Genomic DNA, 18695 nt, shown 5'->3' with positions numbered 1-18695 from the left:
CTGTGGTTGCTTTTTTTGAAAAAAAATAAAATCAGAAAATAATTGACTTGAAAGAAATAAGTTGCCAAAATGTCTCAAAACAGAAATATGAGGCTTCTTCTCTATAGCACTTTTTGGTTTTGATATGGTAAGCCAAATACTTACATGTATTCTTATTCTTTGTCTATTAGTCAATAATTATTTCAACAGCAGAAACAAATGGAAGTACAATGCCTCAAAGTAAAATATTGAGCACCACTTAGATTCTACAAACCACAATACAAGAAAAAGAGTAATAATAGCAAGTATTTACTGAGAACCCCTTTATAGTGAGGATAATTCTACCAAGTATTCTAAGATTCAAACTAAATCCAACCAGTTTTATGCTTTTAAACATTAATCCACGGACATAATGTCAATACTAATTCATGGTCAATACCGACTTCTTATTAGCTTTGCCTGGAAGTGTACCTGAACCTTGTCATAGGTTTGTCTCCTACCTCTAGGCTTTGATACTATTTTCAACCATGTATACAACATCCATTAACAATTTTTAAAGCAGATAATTAAACTTCTGTACTCTCAAATGATATATATGTATACATGTATATATATGTACATGTATATATATATACATGTATATATATGTACATGTGTGTATATATACATATATATATATATGTATATATATAAATTTCCTTTTGGCTTTAACTTCTTCCACTCTCTAGGCTGGAAATACTTGTTGTCTCTTAAGTTCCCTCTTCACATCTTGAAATCGTATGCATCCAACAAATTCTAGTCCATAAATCAAAATCTCTATAACCACCTTGAAATAAAATATTTTAGTTTTCATCCATGTTTATGTGGCACTCATTTTAAACTTCTGCAAAAAATTTTTCACATATTTATCTTTTCTAGTTGATTCTATAAGTTGGCGTCTGTTTGATTTTCCTTTAGCTGTAAAGAAAATGTTACATGGCTGTTGATCATTCATTACGTTCAGCCTATGAAGCCCTACGAAGTCTTCTGGATTGAGTTTGTCACACACCAAAAAGCAACCAAGTACCTGTGCCAACTGCCCACAACTTCACCAGGTTCCAGTACTACTCTCTGCATGTGCTGGCCTTCCTTGGCAATTGTTATTCTATTTGTCATAAAATGTTGCTTTTTTGGTTATCAAACGTTTGTTAAGTTCATAAAGAAGGAAAAGAGACTGTAGCACTCTTTGAGATCTAAGGCTGGTAGGCATAACACCGGAGATCATTCAGTTTAATTCCACATCGATGCATTAAGTTGTGGCAAGATTCTCCTCTACATTTCATAAGACCTGTAATTCCTGACTTAACTAAAAATTTTAATATTTATTAAACATTAAGTAGTGTGTAATTATAATTTTAGAAAACCTCAAATAATTCAATTTTTATGCTTACAAGTGTATATTTTTAAAGTAAAATAAACAAGATTCACTGGAATTTCAATCTGTTGATTTGAAATCAGAAAGACTAGGCATTTTACTGTGCATTTTAACAACATCTTCTGTATAAACAAAATACAATCAAATAGAATATATGTGTTTCTGCTAAGAAAATCAAAGCAAGGTCCTTGTTAAAGATTGCAAGACAGATGTTATTCTGACTACTGAAGTAGGGGATAGAGACTATGGTATAAACTGAGCTCAACGCCAACTGAAACAAAGGTACCGAGGTTTCTAAAGAGAAAACTGATATGAATAAAAAGGAAATATGAGGAAATGAAAATAGGGAAAACAAGGGGCTAGTAGGACTATGTGAAAATGGAATATTACATAAAAAGGAAATGGAAATAATTGATAATTGTTCAGGAACATCAGCTAGACAGCAGTTCGACAGGTTCATGCTATTTTCAGCAAAGTCTCAGCATGGAGGCTGGGGTCACTTTTCAGGACAAATCCATCACCTAGTGCACATATAAGCTCAGATAAACTTGGCCAAGGCTCTTAGCATGGTGTTTAGGCAAGTCTTTTGTGTTACATCGAAGTTTAAATTCACATTCTTTATGAAATACACAATATTTCCTCATGAAAATTTTCTTTGTTTCAAAAATGCTAGACGGTCATAATTGGCTTCCTATCTAAAACTATGCAACCTGGTAAACTATTTGTTTAGACGGTCTAAAGGTGTTTTGCTCGTACGGGCTTAAATGTGCTTGATTTGCTATTTTTGCTTTAGTAGTGACCCTTTGTAATTGGATAGTAATACACAAAACAAAAGGAGAGGCTGGTTCCTTTTAGTTAGGAATGACAGATGGAGCCCAGCAAGTTTAGTCCAGTCCCTCTAGATTATAATGTTACAAGATTTCTCTCCTTCACTAAGATCTCACACTTCTTGGCCTTACCTTGTCAAGTCAGATATTTCCAATTACTTTAATACCTGGCATACTGAGGATATACAAACCAGAAATGTATATAATCATTTTACTTACTATCCTCTCGTAACACAAAAAAAATAAATTGTAGATTGAATAAAGAACCAAATATTCTGTACAACAATTTTTAAGGTCTAAGCTGGAGAAAGCATAATAAATGGCAAAAGCTCTCTAAATCTTGCCTTTAAATTTTGGTGATTATAGCTTTTAGATTCAGAACAAGAATTGCAAAGCAAATCACAGAGAAGAAAGAAACCAATTTACGAGCAGTTCTTCTGTCTGACGAGATCTATCTGAACAGTTGAATGAAAAAAAGCATAATAATAATTTATGACACATGGGAAATAATTTTACAACGCTCCTCTATAAATAATATTTTTAACAATAATTGGTGATGAAACTATGATAATGTCTAGAAAAGAAATATACACTGAATATTTTATAAACTGAACATATAGGTATTCCATTAAAAAGAAAAAATAGTAAAATACAAGGAAAGAAAAAAGTAATGCATGAATGCTCTTTAATTATTTTAATGTGTTTTTTTTTAAAGGGGTAAACCTTACATATAAATATTAGCCTAAGTCAATAATGAAGCTCAACATGTACTATGGAAACCAAATACTAGTTTATTTATATTTTCTTAACAAAATATTATCTGGAAATGTATTAATGGCTTTGTCAAAATAGATCTTCTTTGCAATTCTTAGACCACATAGCCAGATACATAAGTCTATATCTATCCACAGGAGATCAAAGAATATTTTTGCTTCGATTGGTTTAATTTTGAAAAGTCTTTTTACATAAAGTGATATATACATATACAGTTAGGAAAATATGTAAACATGAAGGTATACTTGATAGAGAGTCGTAAAAATCCCAAAGTATATTAAATTCAAAAAATTGTAATATTGTGCGTCTGTTTCTTTGATATTGATTCAATAAACTTTTAAATGTCTCAGCCATTAAAAATATGTAAACACATAAATTTTAAGTAATCACATAGAACGACTGAGTTTATGTAACATTCTTCATCTCTGTGATAATCTTTTTCATTTTTATTTTGAATATGATACTTAAAGACAGGAATATGCAAGCAAAACAGGGGTTGAAGACAAAAATCAAATAATTGTGAACTTAGTCTTGAAAATAACATACAAAGCAGGGTCTATCTACGTCAAGGACAAACTGTATATGCAGGAGTTTTCTATATTGATTCCTGAGCAGAATGCTATGTTTCTTAAAAGGTAAAACAAATATGCTAATTGAAAATGGCCTCTTATATTAAGTATATTTTTAAGTACATTCTTTAAAATACATATTGTTAAAATCCAATAATCACCATAAAAATTACTGAATAACAGTAAAGAGTAGGGCCTTGAGAGGGATGTATCTTCCTGCCTCCACCACCTCACAGTCATTCCAGTGTCCTCTATTGATGAAGCTTACCATTCAGACAGCTGGCAAATGAGGAATGTTTATAGGGTCCTAGTTCAACATCACAAACCTTTATTTGCACCTGAGGAACAATCAGTTGAAAACTGGTAAACAAATTTCAAATTTCTCATTTGTTAGCATCCCCAAAGTTATTGTACCCTTGGCTATTGAATCTTAGATTCAGATGAGTAAGAGTCATGGCTTTCTTTTGAAAATAATGTTTTTGTAAGTTGGGGCATATAGAAGTTCCAACAAAGGTGAGCTTAGAATTGGCCCACAGAATTTTCAGTCCCACTGGTGGTCAGTTTCCTAATGTGCAAATGTGTAATAAGAATTGAGATACTAGTAGGTTGCAATCTGCTCCTCTGGGCTCCTGTGTACTCCTCACTTATCACCAGTCATGCCCAACAAACTAGCCCTGGAGTCGCCAGTTATTTGGTGCTTTGCCTGTAAATAAGTATTAATTTTATCAATGCAAATATATAAAAATGTATCAGTGATTTTACTGTAAATTTCTAGTTATTAATCTGATTAATCACTTTCTTGGTTTATAATCCGGTCAGAATTTTTTTCATATACTGCCCTTAATTTTTCTTTTTGTGTTTTTTCTATAGATTCTTCTCTAATATAGAGACTTTACAAAAGATAAATTTGTTATTTGAAAGAGATCTACAATCCTGAGTCATCATGACTGTGGTTCAGAGTGACTGGCAAAGATATAAAATTAGCCAAGGTCAGATAAACTAGTAAAAATTAATGAATAATCCTTGGTCAGATAAGGTGATCTTTGCAGTTGAATCGATCAATCATAATGAGGACATGCAAGTTGCAAGAGTTGGGATAGCATGAAATAAAAATGGAAACAAACACATTGAATCAGATCACAAATATTTCAACAAAGCATAGGATGGGTGGTTAAGGCCAAGAAGACAACTAGAAACATGAGAGCTTCAGAAGAAAAACAGGTAATGAGGACAGCTTTAATGTAAGCTGTTAACAACAACAACAACAACAACAACTTATGTTTTCATCAGTTTACTGGCAATTTCTAGAGCATTAGGTGATTCCTCTTGGGGGCAATATTTCATATACTTAGGGAGCCCATTTCTAATTTCAAAAATAAAAATATCTAGTTTTTTTATTTTTTTATTTATTTTTCCATAGGTTATTGGGGTACAGGTGGTGTTTGGTTACATGAGTAAGTTCTTTAGTAGTGATTTGTGATATTTTGTTGCACCCATCACCTAAGCAGTATACACTGCACCCTATTTGTAGTCTTTCATTCCTCACCCCTCCCCCCTCCCACACTTAACCACAAGTCCCCAAAGTCCATTGCATCATTGTTATGCCTTTGCATCCTCATAGCTTAATTCCCACATATCAGTGAGAACATATGATGTGTGATTTTCCATTCCTGAATTACTTCACTTAGAATAATAATTTCCAATCTCATCCATGTTGCTGTGAATGCTGTTAATTCATTCCTTTTTATGGCTGAGTAGTATTCCATCATATATATTTGCATTGGTTCCACGATTTTGCAATTGTGAATTATGCTGCTATAAACAGCATATGCAAGCATCTTTTTTACATAATGACTTCTTTTCCTCTGGATAGATACCCAGTAGTGGGATTGCTGGATCAAATAGTAGTTCTACTTTTAGTTCTTTAGGGAATCTCCACACTGTTTTCCATAGTGTTTGTACTAGTTTACATCCCTACTAGCATTGTAGAAGTTTTCCCTGATCACCACATCCATGCCAATATATTCTGTTTTGTTTTTTTGATTATGGCCATTCTTGCAGGAGTAAGGTGGTATCGCATTATGTTTGCTTGGTTTTTGGAATTCATCCTTCTTATCCCATCCCATCTTTGTCTTATGTTAGTGACTCTTTTTCCTCTGAATATTTGAATCATGCTTATTTACAATTTTTATTCTGTCCAGGTTCAGTGCTACATACCTATAATTCCAAAACTTTGAGAGGTCAAGGTGGAAGGATTGCTTGAGTCCAGGAGCAACATAGCAAGAGCTCATCTCTACAAAAATTTGAAAACATTAGCTGGGTGTGGTGGCATGAATCTGTGGCCCCGGCTGCTCAGGGGGCTGAGGTAAGACAACTCTTGAGCTGGGAAGGTTGAGGCTGCAATGAGCCATGATCAAACCGCTGAAAACATACCACTCTGGGCAGTAGAGCAACATCCTATCTCAAAAATAAAAAATAAAAATAAAACAAACATCTCATTCTGACATTTTTCTCTATCTACAAATCTTGGATGCAAATCTTTCTATTGTGTATGGTTATTTTCTTATATGGCTTTCTTTAGGAAATTTTCAACAGGTATTATTTTATGAACACTCTTCATGTAAGAACATGTCTTCACAATTTTTTTTAATTGACTCTGCTTTAGTCTAGGAAGATTTCTAGTTCCGTTACATTTGTTTTATTTTATTTTATTTTTAAGCAGGAAGTCACTGCACTCTAAATTTTATTCTGTACTTCCAGGGACTATGTCTCATTTGGTTTCCTCCCAAAAGTCACTTTTTCATAGCATTTACAAGGATATAATCATAGAATTCCCTCTAATGTTAACAGTTGGTGGACATAATGTCTTCATTTTCTGCTAGGCTGTGTATGTTTTTCAATGTCATTTTTTCTTCTGGAAGTGTATATTTCTGGAGCAGAGGAAGTGGGAAAAAGTTGAGTCACTTATAATCATTTCAGTATATTACACTGTATGAAACACTGGAATGTATGTATTTGAATAGTGGTGCATTCCTTTTTAATCAATTATTTTTTTAAAAAAAATTGTATTGCACTGTAGTCAGATATGTCTAAAATAAATACTTCAGAATTTGTTGAGATCTCATCTGTGACCTTGCCTGAAGCCAAGGTCAAAGAAATTTATAAAATTGTGTTAGTCAGTTCTCACATTGCTGATGAAAACATACCCCAGACTGGGTAATTTATAAAGAAAAAGAGGTTGAATGGACTCACAGTTCCACATGGCTGGGGAGGCCTCACAATCATGGTGGAAAGCAAAAGGCATGTGGTACATGACATCCTACATGGTGACAGGCAAGAGAGAAATGAATGCCAGCAGAGGAAATGCTACACGCTTATGAAATCGTCAGATCTCATGGAACTCACTCACTATCACAAGAACAGTATGGGGAAAACCGACCCCATGATTCAATTATCCCCCACCAGGTCCCTCCCATAACACTTGGGGATTATTACAATTCAATGAGATTTGCATGGGGACAAAGAGCCAAACCATATTAATACTCTCATATACTCCTTCAGGGTTTGGGAGACAAATAGTGCTACTTAACTTTAATGTACATCCAGAGTCAGGATAACTTTTTCTCCCCTAAAACATAGATTAAAGCATTTCCCAGTAGGATTTATGTGGAATGAGAAAAAATAGCAACACCAATCTGCTTCTTGCTACAAAATTGAGCCATTTAGAGAAGATTTTGTTTTCAGTAACTACTTTTTAGATATGTTGTGACATTCAACATATGTTTGTAAAAGATAGTTTTTTACACTAATAATTATTATTTTTATGTAGCCGTAATTTAGATGAGCATGTCTTATTCCTTCTCTCTTTCCTCAGAAGACTGTTGCTAGACTCTTCTCATAACTATAATATGAAAACACTAAATAATTTGGCATGATTAAAAATAGGATAATAACAATTTTTTAAAAAATCTATTCATGCTGTGGTTAACCATAATCAGTAATAATGCAAAAAATACAAAAATTACAACAATCTTATGGGATAGTCACAGGGATATTCCAGGCCCTTCTGAAAGTTATGAATCAGCAAAGCACTTTAGGATCAAAATTTTTGAGTTAAACAACGACAACAGTTGCCTTTATTAGTAAGAAGACCGCCATTCAAATTGCACAAGAAACATTCTCCAGGCTGAGGTATAAACTTAACTTAAAAACATATTAAAACTATGACGCTAAGAGAACTATAGAGTTTACAATAGAATTTTTAACTCATGTAGATAATTGATATATTTTTAAAGAAAAATAGAACTAATATACTACCATGGTAGATACTTTAAAATTTTTCAAATAAGCCAGAATTATTTTTTTCCAAATCTATCCTACAAAACATGTAACAAAAGTTTGGTCCATTGTACAGTGAAGCTAGTAAAAATTATCAACCAAAATAACAAACAGACCAATATGAATATAGGTGATATATGAACAGGGAGTTCACAGAAGTAAAAAAGACAAACAACATATAAGACAGCAAAAGTCACTGATACTTAGAGAAACAAAGTTTAAGTCAATGAGTTCTTTTTCCAGAGAAGATTTACAATTTATACAAATATAAGAAATTTTTTTTGATGAAGTGTAACTTGGAATAACCTTTCAACATTAAATGTGAATATACTGTTTGGCTCCCTAATTCTACTTTTGACCCCATTTTTCTATTTTTGCTTTGGTTGCCTCTACTTCTGGGGTATTTCTCAAGAAATTTTGCCCAGATCAGTGTCCTGGGGAGTTTCCCCAATGTGTCCCTCTATTAGTTTTATAGATTCAAGTCTTATATTTAAGTCTTTAATCCGTTTTGATTTGATTTTTATGTGAGTAAGAAGTAGGGATTATATCATTATTCTGTAGATAAATATCTGGTTTTCCCAGAACCATTTATTGAAGAGACTGTCTTTTTTGTAATGTATGTTCTTGGCAACTGTCTCAAAAATGAGTTTACGTGTGTGAATTTTTTTCTGGGTTCTCAATTATGTTCCATTGACTTATGTTTGTCTTTTGATGTCATTACCATGCTGTATAATATAATAATGCTGTAGTATAATTTGAAGTCAGATAATGTGATTCTTCCAGTTTTGTTCTTTTTGCTCAAAATATCTTTGATTATTCCGGGTCTTTTGTGACTTCACGTACATTTTAGAGTTTTTTTTCTATATCTGTGAAGAATGTAATTGGTATTCTGATAGGCATTGCATCAAATCTGTAGATTGATTCAGGAAATATGAACATTTTAATAAAATTGCTTCTTCTAATCCACGAAAATTACATATCTTTTTATATTTTGTGTCCTCTTCAATTTTTTTGCACCAGTGTTTTGTAGTTTTTATTGTATATACCTTTCAGTTTATTGGTTAAGGTAAATTTTAGGTATTTAATTTTATTTGTTGCTCTTGTAAATGGAATTATATTTTTATTGCTTTTCTAGATTGTTTACTGTTAGCACATAGAAATGCTACTCATTTTGTATCTGCAACTTCATGAAATTTATTTATCAGTTTTAATTTTTTTTTTGGTGAAGCCTTCAGGTTTTTTGAATTATAAGACATATCATCTGCAAACAAGGATAATTTGACTTCTTCCTCTCAAATTTCAATGTCCTTTATTTCTTTAACTTGTCTTGTTGCTCTACCTACGACTTCCAGGACTATGCTGAACGACAATGGTGACAGTGGGAATCCTTGGTGTGTTCCAGATTTCAGAAGAAATACTTAGCTTTTTCCTGTTCAGTATGATACTAACTGTGGGTCTGTCACAGATGGATTCTATTAAGTTGAGGTATGTTTCTTGTACTCTCATTTTATTGAAGCTTTTATCAGGAAGATATTTTAAGCATTATCAAGTGTGTTTTCAGCATAAATTGAAATGTTCATATGGATTTTGTCCTTCATTCAGTTGATTAGATGTATTGCATTGATTGATTTCCATATACTTAATTTTGCTAACATCATTGAGCTAAATCCCAACTGGTCATAATGATTGATTTTTATTTAATGTGCTGTTGAATTGGATTTCTTAGTATTTTGTTCAGGATTTTTACACCAATATTTATCAGTGATATTAGTCTGTAGTTCTCTTTTAAAAAAAAATGTGTATTTTTCTGGTTTTCTATTTGCCCCATAGAATGAGTTTGGAAGTGTTCCTCTTATTCTATTTTTGCAGAGTTTGAAAGGTATTGATATTAGTTTTTGTTTTTTTTTTTAACTTTTTAATGTTTGGAAGTATTCAACAGTGAAGTGATTGGGTCCTGGGATTTTCTTTCCTAGGGTATGGCTTTGATTTTGTTACTCGTTATTTTTCCGGCCAGGGCAATCAAGCAAGAGAAAGAAATAAAGGGTATTTAAATAGGAAAAGAGGAAGTGAAATTATCTCTGTTTTCAGAAGACATGATTGTGTATTTAGAAAACCCCATCATCTCATCCCCAAATCTCCTTAAGCTGATAAGCAATTTCAGCAATGTCTCAGCATACAAAATAAATGTGCAAAAATTACAAGTATTCCTATACACCAATAACAGACAAATGGAGAGCCAAATCATTAGTGAACTCCCATTCACAATTGCTACAAAGAGAATAAAATACCTGGAAATAAAACTTAAAGGGATGTGAAGGACCTCTTCAAGGAGAACTACAAACCACTGTTCAAGGAAATGAGAGAGGACACAAACAAATGGAAAAACATTCCATGCTCATGGGTAGGAAGAATCAATATCATGAAAATGGCCACACTGCCCAAGGTAATTTATAGATTCAATGCTATCCCCATCAAGCTACCATTGACTTTCTTCACATGATTGGAGAAAACAACTTCAAACTTCATATGGAGCCAAAAAAGAGCCCACATAGCAAAGACAATCCTCAGAAAAAAAGAACAAAGCTGGAGGCATCATGCTACCTGACTTCAGACTATACTGCAAGGTTACAGTAACCAAAACAGCATGGTATTGGTACCAAAACAGGTATATAGTTCAATGGAACAGAACAGAGGCCTCAGAAATAATACCACACATCTACAACCAACTGATCTTTGACAAACCTGACACAAACAAGCAATGGGGAAGGGATTTCCTGTTTAATAAATGGTGTTCAGAAAACTGGCTCGTCATATGCAGAAAACTGAAACTGGACCCCTTCCTTACACGTTATACAAAAATTAACTCAAGATGATTAAGGACTTAAATGTAAGAACTAAATCCATAAAAATCCTAATTCAGGACACAAGCATGGACAGATTTTGGATATTTTTATGGTTCAATCTTGGTAATTGTTTGTGTCTAGGAATTTGTTCATTTCTCCTAGACTTTTGTAAATTTTCAGCATACAGTGGTTCATAGTAGCCACCGATGATCCTTTGCATTTCTGCAGTATCAATTATAATGTCTCCTTTTACATATCTGATTCTATTTATCTATGTTTTCTCTCTTCTTTTTAGTATAGCTAAAGGTTTATCAGTTTTGTTTATCTTCTCAAAAAAACCCAACTTTTTGTTTCATGGATATTTTGCACTTTTATTTTATTTCAAATTCATTTATTTCTGCTCTAATTCTTATCTTTTCTTTCCTTCCACTAATTTTCTGTTCATTTTGCTTTTGCTTTTCTTATTTTTAAAGATGCATTGTTAGGTTACTTATTTGAGGTTTTTCTTTTTTGTTGTCAGCACCTACAGGTATCTTTTTAGTGCTGCTTTCACTGAATCAGTTAGGTTTTGGTATCTTATGATTTTATTATATTTTTTGCAAGAAATTTTTTAAAGTTTAAAAATTTTTTCATTGATCCAATAGTCGTTAAAAAATCTATTGTTTAATTTCTATGTTTTTATATGGTTTTCAAAATTTCTCTTGTTATTGATTTATAGTTTTATTCCAGAGTAGTTAGATAAGATGCTTAATATTATTTCACTTTTTTTCTAAATTTTTAAAAATTTGCTTTGTAACTTAATATATGGTATCTCCTCAAGAATGATCCTTTCTTCAGCCACTGGATGAAATGTTCTGTAAATATTTGTTAGGTTCATTTGGTCTATTGTGCAGATTTAGTCCCATGTTTGTTTGTTAAATTTTTTTCTGAGAGATCTCTCCAGTGCTGAAAGTGGAGCATCAAAGTCTTCCATTCTTATCTTATTGGGGTCCATATCTTTTTTTATCTCTAATAATATTTACTTTATATATCTGGGTGACCCAGTGTTGGGTGCATATATATTTAAAATTGTTATATTGTCTTGCTGAATTGACTACTTTATCATTATTACATAGTGTACTTCATTGTCTTTCCTATTTTGTCTGATAAAAGTGTAATAACTCTTGCTCTTTTTTTGGTTTCCATTGACATGAAATATCTCTTTTCATCTCTTTATTTTCAGTCTATGAGTGTCTTCATAGCTGAAGTGTTTTTCTTGCAGGCAACAGAGAAATGGGTATTGTTTTTTTTCATTCATCCACTCACTCTATGTCTTGTCATTGGAGAGTTTAATCATTTACATTCAATGTTATTATTGATAAGTAGAGACTCCTTCCAATTTGTTATATATTTTATAATTTTTCTGTGGTCTTAGCTTTTTCTTTCTTTCCTCTCTAACTTCCTTTTAGTGAAAGCGATTTTCTCTGTACTATGCTTTAATTTCTTGCTTTTTAATTTATTTTGGTTTCAGTTGTATGTTTTTCTATTTGAGGTTAGCATGAGGTTTACACGTACTATCTTATCCATTATTTTAAACTGATGACAACTTAACACTGATTGCATAAACAAACATGCAAAAAGGAACTAATAAAAACTCTACACATTAATTTTATGTCTCTGATTTTTAACTTTTTATTGTTTCTCTTTATCACGTATCGTACTGTCTTGAAAAGTTGTTGTCGTTATCTTTTTTGATTGGTTTATCATTTACATTTCTACTTACATCAACAGTTTACACACCACAATTTCAGTGTTACACTATCCTGCGTTTTCTGTGTGCTTACTATTACCAATGAGTTTTGTAACTTCAGATGATTTCTTCTTGCTTATTAACACCCTTTTCTTTCAGCTAGAACTCTCTTTAGCATTTCTTATGCTACATATCTGCTGCTGATGAATTCTATAAGCTTTTGTTTGTTTGAGAAGATCTTTATTTCTCTTTCTTGATTAAAGGGTGTTTTTACTAGACATATCATTCTAAAGTAGAAGTTTTATTCTTCAGCTCTTTAAAAATATCGTGCCACTTTCTCCTGGCTTGTAAGGCTTCTACTGAAAAGTGTGCCAGTAGACTCGTTGTAGTTCTATTATATGTTATATTTTCTTTCCTTTTGCTGCCTTTAGGATTCTTTTTTTACCCCTGACCTTTGGGAATTTGATAATATTAAATGCCTTAAAATAGTTTTTTTTTGGGGGGGGGAGGTTGTTAAATCTGTTTGGTGTTCTATAAGCTTCTTGAACTTGAATGTTCATACCTTTCTCTAGGTTTGGGAGATTTTCTGATATCACTTTGAATAAAACTTCTACCTCTGTTTCTTTCCCTACCTCCTCTTTAAGGCAAATAATTTTTTGATTTGCCCTTTTGAGGCTATTCTCTAAATCTTGTAGATCTGCTTTACTGCTTTATTGATCTTTACTCCTTGTTTCTTTTGTCTCCTCTGACTGCGTATTTTCAATTAGCCTATCTTCAAGCTCACCAAAGTTATTATTATTATTATTATCTTGGAGACTGGGTCTCACTTTGTCTCTCAGGCTGCTGTTCAGTGGTTTGATCATAATTCAGCACAACCTTGACCTCCTGGGCTCAAGTAGTGCTCCCACCTCAGCCTCCTGAGTAGTTCAAACTATAGATTCACACCACCTTGCTTGACTAATTATTTTATCTTTTTGTAGAGATGAGGTCTCCCTGTATTGCCTAGGTTTGTTTAAAACTCCTGGACTCAAATGATCCTCCTCCATTGGCTTCCCAAGGGCTGGGGTTACAGACATGAGCCACCATGCTCATCTGTAATTCTTGCATTTGCTGTATCAATTCTGCTATTTGGAGACTCTGATGCATTCTTCATCATGTCAGTTGCATTTTTTCACTCTAGAATGTCTGCTGGATTCTTTTTTATAATTTCAATCTCTTCTTTAAATTTAATAGAATTATGAATTCATTCTCTGTGTTATCTTGAATTTCTTTGAGTTTCCTTAAAACAGTTGATTTGATTTTTTTTTTTTTTTTTGAAAGACTATATATCTCTGTTTCTCAAGGATTGGTCCCTGGTGACTAATTTAATGAGGTTGGTGTTGATGCTTGTAAATGTCCATTGGTGTCTGCAAATTGAAGAGTTAGGTATTTATTGTAGTCTTCACAGTCTGAGTTTGTTTCTGCCTGTCCTTCTTGGAATGGCTTTCCATATATTCTGAGACTTTGGCCCCAAATGCAATAATGCTGTGGTTTTTGCAGACTCATGGAAGTATTGCCTTAGTGATTTTGGATAAGATCTGAAAAAATTCTCTGGATTACCAGGCAGAGAATCTGGCTCTTTTTCACTACTTTCTTCCAAATAAATGGAATTTCTCCCTCTGTGCTGAGCCACCTGGAACTGTCAATGTAGAGATGCCAGCAACCCCGTGGCCATCACCACTGTAAATTTGCTGGATTAGATCTGAAGTCAGTACAGGACTGGGCCTTGCCAAAGCTCATTCCTTTAGGGTTGTCTGTTCACCCTGGCCCCAGGCATGTTCAGAGATGCTGTCTGGGAGCCAGAGATTGGAGTCAAGAACGTTAGAAATTGACTTGATGTTTTATTCTGCTCTAGCTAAGCTGGCACTCAAAGCACAATACAAAGCCTTTTCTGTCTTTCCTCTCCTTTCCACAGGCAAAGGATCCTCTTATGATGGCCACCACCACCAGTTTACAGTGGGGTCTGACAGATCACCACTGATGCTCACTACTGTGCTAAACTTCAAACTAAAAGTGTACAGCTAGTGTCACAATCGCATGGTAATTTGCACATCAGTAAGGCAGAGGAGCTCTTTTGCATTAATGTAAAAACAAGTATCACAGGAGTTTACTTGTGTTATCTTCTATTAAAATATATTACTATGTATTTTTGGCTTATGTCTGTAATCTCAGCACTTTGGGAGTCTAACACAGGGAAATCACCTGAGGTCAGGAGTTCAAGACCAGCCTGGCCAACATGATGAAACCCATCTCTACTAAAAATACAAATATTAGCTGGGTGTAGTGGCACGTCCCTGTAATACCAGCTACTTGGAAGGCTGGGGCAGGAGAGTCACTTAAACCTGGGAAGCAGAGGTTGCAGTGACCTGAGATACTGCCATTGCACTTCAGCCTGGGCAACAAGAGTGAAATTCCACCTAAAGAAAACCAAACAAAAACATAAAACAAATATATTACTGTGTATTTTCCTTCTAATAAATTTCTCCTTAGCACTATTAACAATGGGAGGTATCAACATGAAGAAAATAATACTCAATGCTTGCCTAAGAGAAATGAAGATCATTTTATCAATAATTTTTTATTGTAAATTGGCGTACTGTTTATTTAAAAAGCAAAGAGCTCAGGACTCTCTTGGGCTTCCTTCCAAAGAGTATTTTATTATCTTTGCAAACAGCTTTCTTGGTTGGTTAAATTATGCTGTTCAAGTAACAGTTCCATGCACCATGAGAAGAACTACTCCTTATCATTTACTCATTTTCTAATCCAATTTTGTTTCATGGTTTTACTTGTGATTACTGATAATGCATTTAAGCTGTAAGTATTAGAATCATAATGATTCTTCAGGAAACTAGGCAGCTCTACTTGTCAGAAGAAAGAATCAGCCTAATTATGTCTCTAACACTCCTTTACTGTTTCTAGTTAGAAGTATATGTGAAAAATTTCTTTTCCTCTATGATGCTGCACCTTGGTAATAGAGAGAGTTTTACCTTCACAAGAAAGATAAGATTTTGCACAAAGTTAGGTGAGGATGGAGTTGTTTATTTTCTCCAAGATCAACAGTCAAAAATCTCACAGAAGAAACATCAATTTTATTGCCTGATATGGTTTGGCTGTGTCACCACCCCATCTTAAATTTTAGCTCCCATAATTCCCACGTGTCTCGGAAGAAACCTGCTGGGAGGTTATTGGATCATGGGAGTGGATCTTCCCCTGCCGTTCTCGTGATAGTGAATAAGTCTCATGAGATCTGATGGTTTTATAAAGAGGAGTTCCCTTGCACACCTTATATTGCCTGCCACCATGTAAGACATGCATTTGCTCCTCCTTTGCCTTCAGCCATGACTGTGAGGCCTCCCAAGCCATGTGAAACTGTGAGTCAATCAAATCTCTTTCCTTTATAAATTATGCAGTCTTAGGTATGTCTTTATTAGTAGCATGAAAACAGACTAATACATTTTCTAAGCCCTTGCTCAAATTCACAGAAGATCAGTACTGCAATCCTCATGGCCACTCTACTAATTGGAAAGGTAGATTGACTAACAGTGCCCTTTCCAGATGAAAGTTAAAACATTGTGTAGACTGATGGTAGTTTCTTTTGATGTGCAGAAGCTCCTCAGTTTAATTAGATCCCATTTGTCAATTTTGGCTTTTGCTGCCATGGCTTTTGGTGTTTTAGACATGAAGCCCTTGCCCATGCCTATGTCCTGAATGGTATTGCCTAGGTTTTCTTCTAGGGTTTTTATTGTTTTAGATCTAACATTTAAGTCTTTTATCCAGCTCAAATTAATTTTTGTATAAGGTGTAAGGAAGGGATCCAGTTTCAGCTTTCTACATATGGCTAGCCAGTTTTCCCAGCACCATTTATTAAATAGGGAATCGTTTCCCCATTTCTTGTTTTTGTCAGGTTTGTCAAAGATCAGATGGTCTACCATCAGAGTGAATAAGCAACCTATAGAATGGGAGAAAATGTTTGCAATCTACCCATCTGACAAAGGGCTAATATCCAGAATCTACAAAGAACTTAAACAAATTTAGAAGAAAAAAAATAAAACAACCCCATCAAAAAGTGGGTGAAGGATATGAACAAACACTTCTCAAAAGAAGACATTTATGCAGCCAACAGACACATGAAAAAATGCTCATCATCACTGGCCATCAGAGAAATGCAAATCAAAACCACAATGGGATACTATCTCACACCGGTTAGAATGGTGGTCATTAAAAAGTCAGGAAACAACAGGTGCTGGAGAGGATGTGGAGAAATTGGAACACTTTTACACTGTTGGTGGGACTGGAAACTAGTTCCACCATTTTGGAAGACAGTGTGGTGATTCCTCAAGGATCTAGAACTAGAAATCACATTTGACCCAGCCATCCCATTACTGGGTATATACCCAAAGGATTATAAATCATGCTGCTAGAAAGACACATGCACACGTATGTTTATTGTGGCAATATTCACAATAGCAAAGACTTGGAACCAAACCAAATGCCCATCAATGATAGACTGGATTAAGAAAATGTGGCAAATCTACACCATGGAATACTATTCAGCCATAAAAAAGAACGAGTTCATGTCCTTTGTAGGGACATGGTTGAAGCTGGAAACCATCATTCTCAGCAAACTATCACAAGGACAAAAAACCAAACACCACATGTTCTCACTCATAGGTGGGAATTGAACAATGAGAACAGTTGGCCACAGGAAGGGGAACATCACACACCGGGGCCTGTCTTGGGGTTGGGGGAGGGCATAGGGATAGCATTAGGAGATATACCTAATGTAAATGATGAGTTAATGGGTACAGGACACCAACATGGCACATGTATACATATGTAACAAACCTGCACATTGTACACATGTACCCTAGAACTTAAAGTATAATAATAAAAAAAATAAAATACATTAAAACATACGTATTTTATGTACTATATTACTATAAATCTTATAATACAATATATTAATAAATATTATACTTTATGTTAATAAAAACTTGCATAAAATAAATGCTCAACAAATGGTCATTGAATTTTACTCAATGGATTCTTATAACACTCTACATTCCCTGTTCACTGTATAAAATTTCAGCTATAGCTGCGATGACATTTGGCTACAAACGCTGCCTTGGTGAAATGTGGCCTCATAAGGAATTGAAACAATGGGCACAATTCAGCACTGGGCACTAAGGTTCAGAAGAACGCAACCTCAGAAATGCATACCACTATCAGATCATATAGGGCTTCCTAACTACTTCATTAATGTAGACGCTAAGCATTGCGGAGCAGAAATAAAACCATGGGAGATATATTTTCAAGCAGAAATGAAAAAGAAGATTTTTAAATAGCTGGGTACTAACCTATTGTCTGTTTATTCCCAAAACATACCACTAATCACAGATTTTATTTAAACATATAATATCAAAAATTAATTTCCATTAAGATTATCATATGTTAGTAGTTGAAACTCTGTTCTAGAGGAGGCATTTACATTTGCATGCATTTCAGATATTTTCTCATTCTTATAATGAACTTACAATTATATTTTCTGGACAATAATGAGAAGACATGCATGATAATGAGACTTAATGCCAAAAACTCTACCTGCATATATTAAGTAAAATTTATCAGAGGCAAGATTTAAAAACAAAGCAACCTATTTTTATATTTCAGTATAAAGGGATTGTAATATAAATACCTGTATGCTTAACTTGAATCTTGAAAAAACAATTACAAAAACAATATGCAGCCACCAAAAAAGAAATGAGTTTTTTTGTAAAAGAAATATAATGTAATCCAAAAAAAAAAAAAAAAACGTCGTACACAGAACATAGCTGGGACCAGCTTAAAGTGAAAATTTAAGCTGGACCTTTGCCATAAAATCTTGGCCAATTCCTATGTCCAGAATGATATTTCCTAGGTTATCTTCCCGCCTATTTATAGTTTTTGGTTTTACATTTGTCTTTCTTCCATCTTGAGTTGATGTTTGTATATGGTGAAAGGAAGTGTCCCCATTTCATTCTGCATATAGCTAACCAGCTATCCCAACATCAATTATTTAATAGATAATGTTTTCCCAATTGCTTGCTTTTGTCAGTTTTGTTAAAGATCAGATGGTTGTAGGTGTGCAACATTACTTCTGGGCTGTCTATGCTGATCCATTGGTTTATGTGCCTGCTTTAATAC

Source organism: Homo sapiens, chromosome 4 (assembly GCF_000001405.40).
Source record: "Homo sapiens chromosome 4, GRCh38.p14 Primary Assembly".
In the NCBI taxonomy this organism is placed as follows: domain Eukaryota; kingdom Metazoa; phylum Chordata; class Mammalia; order Primates; family Hominidae; genus Homo; species Homo sapiens.
This window is presented reverse-complemented; position numbering follows the sequence as displayed.